The 12,018-nt window shown below is 45.1% G+C and overlaps 2 long non-coding RNA genes across 3 annotated transcripts in view; one reads left to right on the top strand and one right to left on the bottom strand.

The window, feature by feature from the left end:
• Positions 1-12,018, top strand: part of LOC101928004 (uncharacterized) — a 106,380-nt gene that overhangs the window by 29,841 nt on the left and 64,521 nt on the right. The gene's annotated exons all lie outside the window — the stretch shown is intronic.
• LOC124901254 (uncharacterized) lies at positions 11,337-11,975 on the bottom strand. Of its 2 annotated transcripts, none has more exons than XR_007059436.1 (2): positions 11,836-11,975; positions 11,337-11,530 (listed from the first exon to the last, which is right to left on the bottom strand). It is a non-coding gene; the product is annotated as an uncharacterized LOC124901254 (long non-coding RNA). The 2 variants fall into 2 exon arrangements; XR_007059437.1 differs by having other exon boundaries at positions 11,337-11,580; positions 11,836-11,965.

Below are 12,018 nucleotides of genomic sequence, written 5' to 3'. Positions count from 1 at the left end.
TCCTCCTCCTCTTCCTCCCTCCCTTCCTCCTTCTCCTTCTTCTTCCTCCTCCTCTTCCTCCTCCTCCCCTTCTTCTCCTTCTCCTTCTTCTTCTTCTTTTTTGAGATGGAGACTCACTCTGTCACCCAGGCTGGAGTGCAATGACACGATGTCAGCTCACTGCAAACTCCGTCACCTGGGTTCAAGCGATTCTCCTGCCTCAGCCTCCTGAGTAGCTGGGATCACAGGCATGTGCCACCATGCCCAGCTAATTTTTGTATTTTTAGTAGAGACGGGGTTTCACCATGTTGGCTAGGCTGGTCTGAAACCCCTGACCTCAGGTGACCCCCCAACCTCAGCCTCCCAAAGTGCTAGGATTACAGGCGTGAGCCACCGCGCCCTGCCCAAATGGTCTTTTCTTATCTGAGTTCCATTCTTTAAAAGTAAACTTAAAAAAAAAAAAAGCCTCTTATCATGAAGACGTATGTGGGCAGGTAGAAAGGATTTTACAGGATACTTTTTGTAATGCTTCCATACAATATAAAATTTAACATCTTAACCATTTTCCAGCATATAGTTCAGCAGCGTTAAGTACATTCATGCTGTTGTGCAACGAGCACCACCATCCGTCTCCAGAGCTTTTTCATCTTCCCAAACTGAAGCTCTGTACCCATCAAACAATAACTCTCAGTTGCCCCTTCCCTCAACCCCTGGCAACACCCATCCTACCTTCTGTTTCTGAATTTGGCTCCTCTAGGAACCTTATATGAGTGGAATCATACAGTATTTGTCGTTTTGTGACAAATACTTATTGGCTTATTGCACTGAGTGTAATTTCTTCAAGGTTCATCCATGTTCTAGTATGTGTTAGAATTCTCTTCCTGTTTAAGGCTGAGTAATATTCCATCGTGTGGATAGATCACATTTTGCTCATCCATTCACCTGTTGAGAAAAACTTGGTTTGCTTCCACTTTGGACTATTGTGAATAATGCAGCTATGAACAAGTGTGGACAAATCCCTGGAACAGTTTTTGTAATTTGCTTTTACTTCCCCAGGGCAACTTAGGACTTGACAGATTTTGAATATGAACTTACTTTCCTTCCTTGAGACTAGATAGATTTAAGATTAAGTGTTTTTAAAGGGGGCCTTTTCTTTGACTAAGTATCATAGAAAGTAATTTGGTGTCTGGTGCATGGTGCATTGCTTCTCTGAATGAATAATTCAGACATTTCAAAACACTAGTGGATTTGAAAATCAAATTCACACAGAGAGGGTGAGTTGTGAGAAAAGGATAGCATAGGCACCATGATTCAGGTTTGGGGTTCTACAGACTGACACCAAGAAATCAAATGAGAATAAATTACAATTCAGCTGTGAGTGTGCAACACACACACACACACACACATGGAAGCAGCTAGTTTAAAAGTCAGGAAAGCCCACAATTCTAGCTGCATTTTGTAGACTACCTTGAGGTTTGAGCTTTTACCTTATGGTAAGACAGGTGGAAGGAGTTGGGAATAAGGATCTGGAGAGTTGAACCTACTTGTGCTCTCCCACCTTGTTGCCTGATAGTGTACCTTAGATAGTTAATGGCAAGGCTTCCAATGGGCCAGATGAGGTTGCAGAGAATTTTCCATTTCACACTACAGACTGTCCTGTTGACCCAGCCAACAGTATCACAGATTAATGTCACTGGCCAATTGAGAGGACACTCAGCAGGCATGAGTGCTTAGGGCCTCTGGAGCCCAAGAGCCAAGAGCAGGACCCTCACCTCCTGGATGCCATGGCAGCTATCCTTTCCAGTGGCCTCTCGCAGGCTACATGGCCTCTCATTTTTGCTTTTCCTTACACATCTGCTCTTGTTTTTTCTCTCAACTGACTTCCTTTGTTTACTCACTTTGAATATAGCTCAATAATGCCACCAAGCTTGATTTTCCAATGCTACCTTTATTGACTATCGAGTTCATTGCATCTGCCAGTGGTGTCTGCATACCTCGGTTTGAAACTTTGAGCATCTCATTGACAAGCTTTGGAACTCATTGCCCAATCCAAGTCATCTAATACCCTGGGTGGATGGCAGTGGAAGGAAGGTAGGAAAGGTAGGAGGATGGTGGTGGGAGCCCTGTGGCGTGTAGGACTACCTACCCTTCTCCCTTTATTTTTTATTTATTTATTTTTTTTTTTTGAGAGGGAGTCTCCCTCTGTTGCCAGGCTGGAGTGCAGTGGCGCTCACTACAACCTCTGCCTCCCGGGTTCAAGGGATTCCCCTGCCTCAGCCTCCCGAGTAGCTGGGACTACAGGCACGCACCATCATGCCCAACTAATTTTTTTGTATTTTAGTAGAGACAGGGTTTCACCATGTTGGCCAGGATGGTCTTGATCTCCTGACCTCATGATCCACCTGCCTCGGCCTCCCAAAGTGATGGGATTACAGGCTTGAGCCACCATGCCTGGCCAGGACTACCTACCCTTCTTAGAGACGTCGGCTGGGAGCCAATAAACAAGTCTAGAGCACTGACTGAAAGCACGTTGGACGAAAGAACAAATTGGTTGAAAATGAAGAGAGAAACATCCATGCCCTCAGCTCACAACGTGGTCCTGTTTAGCTTCCATCCCTCCTTGTGTAATAGTGGCCCTCTAGACATGACTCACTCATTGGAGAGACTGTAAAACATCCATAGAAATAAATCATTGTGATTTTGTTGTTCTTTTATGGAAGGCCCTTGGTTACATTAATTAATTAGCCAGTTAATTAACTCATCAGCCTCCAAATGTGTGTTGAGCACTGACTATGTGCCAAGCACTCTGCTTTGTCCCTTTTGCGTCAGTGTACAGAGGCTCTTAGAGTGCTGGCTACATTTAGCTTGGGAACTAAGACAAGAGTCCCGACACCTGGTAAGAGTTTACCTGTCTCCCAGGGACTCTCTAGGAGCTTTTATATGTTATCATTTTTAATCCCCTGGCAATTCCAAGTGCTAAGTATCATATTTTCCTTGTTGTAGGAATAAATCCGAGGCTCAGAAAGGTAAATAGCTTGCCCAAGTCACACAACCAGCAAGTGACCATGAGTGATGCCCTAGATGGCCTTTGGCAAAATTTGTGCTTTTGGTACTCCACAACCCTTGGCAAAGCTATGAATAGAGGTGGATGTGCTAGAGACGTTTGATTGAAACATACACCCTGTAGGTAGGTCTGTAACTCCCTGAAATAAGTATAACCCAGATATGTCCATTTTAAAGTGAATTTTTAAAAATACTGGCTGGGCACGGTAGCTCATGCCTGTAATCCCAGCACTTTGGGAGGCCGAGTCGGGTGGATCACCTGATGTCCGGGAGTTCGAGACCAGCCTGGCCAACGTGGTGAAACCCCATCTCTACCAAAAATACAAAATTAGCTAGGCATGGGGGCACATGCCTGTAATCTCAGCTACTCGGGAGGCTAAGGCAGGAGAATTGCTTGAACCCAGGAGGCACAAGTTGCAGTGAGCGGAGATCGAGCCTTTGCACTCCAGCCTGGGCGACGAGAGCGAAACTTCATCTCAGAAAAAAAAAAAAAAAAATACTGTGCCACTCTAATGATTTATCTGGAAGGAACAAGGGAAAGGGGTTCCTTTCTGATTGTTTCTAATTGTTTCCATTTTCTTGATGCATCCTAAAACAACAATGATATGTTCCATGCCTGTGTCCCTACCAAATCTCATGTCGAATTGTAATTCCCAATGTTGGAGGTGGGTGGGAGGGCCTGGTAGGGGGTGTTTGGTTTATGGGGGCAGATCTGGAAAGTAAAACATGGAAATGTGCCTGAAAAAAAACAACAGTATTCTATCTTTTAAAAAATTAGAGAGTTTACACTGGTTAAAAAAATTAATTTATTGGCCGGGTGTGGTGGCTCATGCCTGTAATCCCAGCAGGGAGGCCAAGGTGGGTGGGTCACTTGAGGTCAGGAGTTCAAGACCAGCCTGGCCAACATGGTGAAACCCCGTCTCTACTTAAAAAAATACAAAAATCAGCTGGGTATGGTGGTTGGTGAGTGCCTGTAATTTCAGCTACTTGGGAGGCTGAGGCAGGAGAATTACTTGAACCCGGGAGGTGGAGGTTGCAGTAAGCAAAGATCGTGCCACTGCACTCCAGCCTGGAAGACAGAGTGAGACTCCATCCCCCCCTCCAAAAAAAATTATTTATTTAAAATTTTCTTTTAAAATTCTTGGAATGAGTGATCGATGAACATTTGAACATTATGTTAAATTCATCTTGGTCTTATAATTAAATTACCTTTGTTATCACCTCCTTTGTTCTTAACAGGAAATTATATTCTCCATGCTTTCTCTGTCTGAATTTTCCCTAGTTTTCGGTTCTATCAATTTATTTAAAACTATTTTCATATTCTCTCTTACACATGAAGATACACAGGATTTAAAAATAATTTAGTAGTTTTAAAAAAATCTGAGAGTAAATTAGAATGTTAAAAAGAATTTTTCATGTTGGTATTCTCAATTCAATTAGTAAAATATGCCTATAATATTTCCTAATCCAAAATAGTTATAGATTAACTGTCTTGAAATTTCAGTATGACTGGAATGAACTTCACAACCTGAAGACAGCTAAGGTTGCAAAGCTGGCACTCAAACCTCAGTGAGGCTTGGGTTCTTGTCAACTCCTGAGTCAGCACTGGAGGTGCAGATGGTCACTTGTACAGGACTAATTGTTTCTCTCTGCTGCAAGATACGCAGAACCTTTAAATGCCGGAATTAATACAGGGTTTTTAAAGAAAAGTTGGAAAATACAAGTTGAAAGGAGAAATAAATCTCTGCTAGCAGGAGGCAAGAAGCCCTAACTGTTTCTGACATGGCTCAGAAGACCCTGCACCTGGATGGCCGCACCACCTCACGCTGTCCAAGAGAGGTATGCCCTGGCCAAAGGCTTCACTCACTTCCCAGTCTGTCACGAAAAAGAACCGCATGTTTTCCTCTAACACAAAGGTCAGCAAATTACAGCCTGTGGGCCACCTGTGTGTATAAGGCCCATGAACTAAGAACAGTTTTCTTACTTTTAAATGGTTGGAAAAAAATCAAAAGAAGAATATTTTATGAAGATAGAAATTATCTGAAATTCAAATTTTAGCGTTTATAAACAAAGTTTTTTAAAATTTTTTTATTTTATTTTTTTGAGATGGAGTCTCGCTCTCTCTCTCAGGCTGGAGTGCAGCGGTGCGATCTTGGCTCACCGCAAACTCTGCCTGCCAGGTTCAAGCATGCCCGGCTATTTGTATTTTTAGTAGAAACAGGGTTTCACCATGCTGGCCAGGCTGGTCTCGAACTCCTGACCTCGTGATCCGCCCGCCTCGGCCTCCCAAAGTGCTGGGATTACAGGCGTGAGCCACCGTGCCCAGCCTATAAATAAAGTTTTATTGGAACACAGCTGCGTTTGGTCCTTGGCTTGGCTCCTGTTAAGGGCCTCAGGGAGCCTCCAATCATGGCAGAAGGTGAAGGGGGAGCAGGTGTCTCACACGGCAGGAGCCAGAGCAAGAGAGAGAGTTGGGGTGGGAGGTGTCACACTGTACAACAACCAGATCTTGGGAGAACTCATTCACTATTGTGAGGATCGCGCCATGCCATGAGGGATCTGCCCGCATAACCCAAACACCTCCCACCAGGCCCCACCTCCAACATTGGGAATTAGAACTCAACATGAGATTTTGTAGGGGCACAGACACAAACCTTATCAATGTTGTTTTAGGATGCATCAAGAAAATGGAAACAATCAGAAAGGAACCCCCTTCCCTTGTTCCCTCCAGATCTCCTGGTCTACCCACATCTATGCCAGTTCTTTCTGGTCTTTTCTCCTGCTATGATGGATGAAATTTCCCTGCTTCTATCAAGGCCAAATCCTACCTTCTCTGGATTCCATCCTGCTTGCTTTTCAGTAATCTCTCTTCTTTTTCTCTCTTTCCTCCACCATCTCTTTTATCCTTTCTACTAGATCATTCTTACCAATATTCAAGTGTGCTCTGAAATCATTCCCTAAAATAATTCTCCCTTGACCCAGCTGGCACAGCTCTAGCTCTGGCCTGTTTCTCTGATCTGCTCCAAGGGTCACTCATGTGTGTCATCTATGGTCACTGAACCCACTGCCTCCCCTCCCATTCTTCTCACTCTTACCACTCCACTGAACCTGATCTTGTAAGGGTCACCGTGTTGCCAAAACCAGAGGAAGCTTCTGTCTTAGTCTGTTTTGTGTTGCTATAAAGGAATATCTGAGGCTGAGTAATTTATAAAGAAAGAAGGTTTATTTGGCTCACAATTCTAAGAGCTGGAAAAGTTCAAGATTGGGCATCAGCTGTGGGCATCAGGCTCATGGCGGAAGGTGAATGGGAGGGGAATGTGCAGAGATCACATGGCACATGAGGAAGCAAGAATGGGGGAGGTGCCAGGCTCTTTCCAACAGCCAGCTCTCTCTGGAACGAATAGAATGAGAACTCCCTCACCCCAAGGGGGGCATTAATTAGAGGTTCACACCAAGACCCAAACACTTCCCACTAGGCCACACCTCCAATATTGGGGATAAGTTTCAGCATGAGGTTTGGAGGGGACAATTATCCAAACCATAGTAACTTCTCACTATTTCTCAAACTTTCAGCAGCATTTCATACCATTACTGTTTTCTTTTGTCTTAAATTTTTTCTCTTGGTTTTGGCATGCCATACTCGCCTAGCTTTCCTTCTAATTCACTATCTTTCTTTCTTTCTTTCTTCCTTCCTCCCTCCCTTCCTTTTTCTCTATCTTTCTCTTTCTTCTTTTAGGGACAGCTTCTCATTCTGTCATCCAGGTTGGAGTTCAGTGGTGTGATCTTGGCTCACTGCAGCCTCAACCATCTGGGCTCGAATGATTCTCCCACCTTAGCCTCTCAATTAGCTAGAATTCCAGGCACATGCCATCATGCCCAGCTAGTTAAAAAAAGATTTTGTGTAGAGACAGGATCTTGCCCAGGGTGGTGTTCAACTCCTGGTCTCTAGTGATCCTCATGCCTCGGCCTCCCAAAGCACTGAGATTACAGGTGTGAGCCACTGTGCCTGCTGTCATTTCTTTACTGGCTCTTTCTCCTGAGCCCAGTCTCTAGTTCTGCTGTGGGATGCCTTTCTTCTCTGTGTAGTCTGTCTACATTGTTCCATACTGTATCTTGCTTTAAAAGCCATCAACATGCAAGTGACTTCCAAAATATTTCCAGCCCTGATGCTTCCCTGACAGGCAGACTTCAGAGCCTCTTGACTCCTTACTTGACATCCTCACTGGGATATCTAACAGGCATTTCAAACATAAAATTGTCTAAACAGAACTCTTAATTTTCCACCACACACTGCATGTTCTCACTCATAGATGGGAATTGAACAATGAGATCACTTGGACACAGGGCGGGGAACATCACACACCGGGGCTTGTCGGGGAGTTGGGGGCTGGTGGAGGGATAGCATTAGAAGAAATACCTAATGTAAATGATGAGTTGATGGGTGTAGCAAACCAACATGGCACATGTATACCTATGTATCAAACCTGCACGTTGTGCACATGTACCCTGGAACTTAAAGTATAATAATAAAAAATTCCACCACAAACCTGTTCCTACACGAGTCCTTTTCAGCTTGATGAGTGGAACTACGATACAGTTGTTGAGGCCAAAAATCTAGGAGTCATAAGAGATTCTTCTCTTTTGATTCAGTATTCCCATCTCTCCTCCACCCCAAATCTGGTTCATCAGCAATTCATGCCAGTTCTACCCTCAAAAAATTACCTGAATCCATCTCCATGGTTGCCACCCTAGCCCATGCTCTATCCTGCACATCTGGCCCTAGCGGGGTACTCTGGTCTCTCCCTCCACCCTTGCACCTGTCCCTTGCTTCTTCCCGGGGCCTCTCCAAACACACCTTCTACCACACTCTCCCTGCTCACTGCACTCCAACCTGTGCCCATTCCTCCACCATGCCAAGCCCACTCCTATCTTGGGGCTTCTCATTGTTCGCATTTTCTGTGAGAGTTCTTCCCTCAACACCCAAACTAAAGCAGACCCTTTCCCCATAGCCCTTTGTAAATTTTCTTAAGATCATCACTCTACAAATATATCTTATTGATGAGTTCTGTACTTGTGTTTTGTTTTTCTCTTCCAGAATGTAAAAAGCAGGAACTTCTGATGTATCCCTGACTCCTACGATTGTCTTTGCTTTTAATCAGTACTTTAAAAATTGATTTATTTTAGTTCCCAGCATATTTTTTCTTTTTCTGTGCAAAATATTTTCCCATATTGTTTACATAAGTTTTGAGAGGTGACAGCGTGCTGGCAGTCCTCACAGCCCTCGCTCCCTCTCGGCGCCTCCTCTGCCTGGGCTCCCACTTTGGCAGCACTTAAGGAGCCCGTCAGCCCACCGCTGCACTTTGGGAGCCCCTTTCTGGGCTGGCCAAGGCTGGAGCTGGCTCCCTCAGCTTGCAGGGAGGTGTGGAGGGAGAGGCGCGAGCGGGAACCGGGGCTGCGCGCGGCGTTTGAGAGCCAGCTAGAGTTCCGGGTGGGCGTGGGTTTGGCGGGCCCCGCACTTGGAGCAGCCGGCCAGCGCTGCCGCCCCCGACAGTGAGGAGCTTAGCACCTGGGCCAGCGGCTGCGGTGGGTGTGCTGGGTCCCCAAGCAGTGCCGGCCCACCAGCGCTGCCCTTGATTTCTCGCTGGGCCTTAGCTGCCTTCCCACGGGGCAGGGCTCGGGACTGCAGCCCGCCATGCCTGAGCCTTCCCCCGCCTCCATAGGCTCCTGTGCAGCCCCCGCCTCCCCCAACGAGTGCCACCCCCTGCTCCACGGCGCCCAGTCCCATCAACCACCCAAGAGCTGAGAAGTGTGGGCACACGCCAGGGAACTGACAGGCAGCTCCACCTGCAGCCCCAGTGCGAGATCCACTGGGTAAAGCCAGCTGGGCTCCTGAGTCTAGTGGGAACTTGGAGAACCTTTACGTCTAGCTAAGGGATTGTAAATCACCAATCAGCACTCTGTCTCTAGCTCAAGGTTTGTAAACACACCAATCAGCACCCTGTGTCTAGCTCAGGGTTTGTGAATGCACCAATCAACACTCTGTATCTAGCTACTCTGGTGGGGACTTGGAGAACCTTTGTGTCCACACTCTGTATCTAGTTAATCTAGTGGGGATGTGGAGAACCTTTGCGTCTAGCTTAGGGATTGTAAACGCACCAATCAGCACTCTGTCAAAACAGACCACTCGGCTCTCTGTAAAATGGACCAATCAGCAGGATGTGGGTGGGGCCAGATAAGAGAATAAAAGCAGGCTGCCCCCAGCTGGTTAGTGGGAACGTGTATCGGGTCGTCTCGCGCTTTGTGGGAGTTTTGTTGTTTTGCTATGTGGGACTATATTGCCTTTGTGAGCTATGACACTCCCTGCGAAGGTTTGTAGCTTTACTTTCGAAGCTAATATAAGCTGTTGAGCCTTGGTGGGAGGAAAAAGCTCCAAACGCACCACTTTAAGAGCTGTAATAGTTACCGCGAAGGTCCGTAACTTCATTGCTGAGGTATCAAGACCACTAAACCCACCTAGAAGAAAAACTCGGAACACACCCAAACGTAATAATGAAACAAAACTCCGGATACGCCACTTTTAAGAACTGTTACTACCGCGAGGGTCTGAGGCTTCCTTTTTGAAGTCAGACTAAGAACCCACCAATTCCAGACAGTTTTATGTTTAACTCAATATGGTTGTTTTTTTCGTGTTTAACTGTATACACAAATGTTTTAATTGCATGATACGTGCTCTGGTTTCCTTTGGTTTACTTCCCTGTGATCTGTCACTTAGGTAATTACTAATTTTTCACAGTTGTGGGCGACATGCTGATTTTTGTGCAAGGGTGCGTGTGTTCTGTCTGTACTACTGGAAACTGGAGTTCCATGACACCGCAGCATACTTCTAGGGTCTTGCACACCTGGTCTGGCTTCAGTAAGGGAATAAACCAAGTCTAGAGTGCAATTAGCGTTTGAATTAGTGACATGAGGATAAACAGGTGATTATCCCATCTAATAGCTGTTGAATGGTGTTAGAGATACTATCAGACCGCTTGAGCTTCAAACGTAGGGGTTTATTGACGATTAAGAAAGGACTATGGGACTATTGGTTTAAATAAATGAAAATAGGGTTTCCAAAATGAAGTTATTTCTAAGTGCTTTAAACCAACTGATTCCAACTTCTAAAGTTGCTTAAAAGGTGAAGAGCAGAAATCACATTTGTACTTCCTTTTGTCTGAAGCGCTCACAGTGTTAAGTATAGACATTCTTACACACTTTCGGTTAGGTGAAGAACACATAAAATTCAGTAACTGCATTTTGCCCACGGGGAGACCAAGTCAGAACTCTCTACAGACTTCCACAGAGGTCACAATCAGACACTGAAGAGACAAAATTAGAACTCAGTGTTCTGGGCTTTAGAAGGATCAGCTTCTAAAACCAACACTTTTTCTCTCTGAAATCTATATTGAGATTTTTAGAGTTAGCAACAGGTGAGAACATTTTTATTGATGTTTGGCTTCACAGTTTTAATTACCTGTTTTGGATTAGAGCTTGTGGGAGTCTGCAGTCTGAGTTGGTGGGGACCTGATGGAATATATTACAGCTGCTATTTTCATAAAAGTTTATGCTTAACTTTTTTTGCCTTAAGTTTTGGGTTCGTGGATTTAGGGTCAACACAGGATTACAACGGTCTAGGTTTTCCAGAATTGCCACAAAATTCAGTAAAACTTTCACTGAGCCACCCTTCTTGGTGAAGAAGTAAAACCTTAGCAAAAGAAATGCTGGGAAGAGTGTGACTTTGATAAATGCAAATATGACTTTCTTCCATGTACGTGTGTAGCACTGAAACAAATTTGGTCTATTCCTTTAAACATATACAGTACAAATGTTTTTCCTTTCAAACAAATAGAAATCATTACCCTTTACTGATTTTAGATAATTCACAAAATGAGTTCTGTTTACCAATCAAGTAACTCATGCTGGTGTTTATATCTGAGGGAAAATTAGTGAACTCACATGTCTGGCTAGCCTGGCCTCTGATTTGCATATATGTAAATCAGTCCCTTTCATTTTTTTCATGATCAGCCTGCTAGTCCAAGGGTTAGATCATCCTGAACAGTAAGCTGGCACTTTATTTGCTTGTAAGAGAGAACTTATACATCTGCTATACAATCTGCTATACGTTTTTGGAGGCGATGATGAGCAGTGAGGAGGAGGGCAAGGACTGGCTTATGGTGGATTACACAGACTTACTGTATATATGGCCCAGATGCTACGTGGAAGACTTACACAAAAATTCCTTGTTTTTGTGAAGGTTAGACTTAACTAGGCATCTGTATTTTTTGTTTGCTAAATCAAGTTAGCTAAGCAGGTTAGTGCTGGCCACTCTTTACTGGCCAGGCGTCCTGGGGGGGTCTTCCCAGCAAGCTCTACAGAAGCAGCGCGGCTCTTCTCTCGTGGGTGTGGATCTTGAGATGGGCGCGCTGCTCTGATGCGGTGCTGCGTCTCCCTTCAGGAAGAAGATGGGAATCGTACCAGTTCACAGAGATCTTCCTGGTCCTCAGTTAATACAGAATATTAATGAAACTTATCACTTTAAATGAACCCAGGTAGCCGCCCTTGTCATCTTAACTACCAACGAATGTCTTCAGGCCGTTAAGACAGGGCAAAGGGGTGAGAGGATCGGGTGGGGCGAGAGGAAAGCCTGGCCCGTGCGGGGGTCAGACCTTCATTCTGCCGTCAGCTGTGCTGGAGACTCTCAGCAAGGGAGAGACGTGGCGTCTCTGAGTGGTTTTTGCCCTAAAGGATGCTTACGGTCATAGGAAGCTTTTCCATGTGTTTCCTTCATGGGTGTCTACGGCTTTTGTTTTCAGCTGCGCTTTGCACAGGGGCTGGAAGGCTAACTCCCCAAAAGGGAACTTCCTCTCCTTCTAGAAACTGACCCCTGGTGGTTGCTATAGCAACTGCAAAGCGAGAATAATGAGCTGTGTAAACAAG

The sequence above is a fragment of the Homo sapiens genome, chromosome 6 (assembly GCF_000001405.40).
Source record: "Homo sapiens chromosome 6, GRCh38.p14 Primary Assembly".
In the NCBI taxonomy this organism is placed as follows: domain Eukaryota; kingdom Metazoa; phylum Chordata; class Mammalia; order Primates; family Hominidae; genus Homo; species Homo sapiens.
Note: the sequence above shows the minus strand (reverse complement) of the source record. Positions and strands in the feature narration are given on the sequence as shown.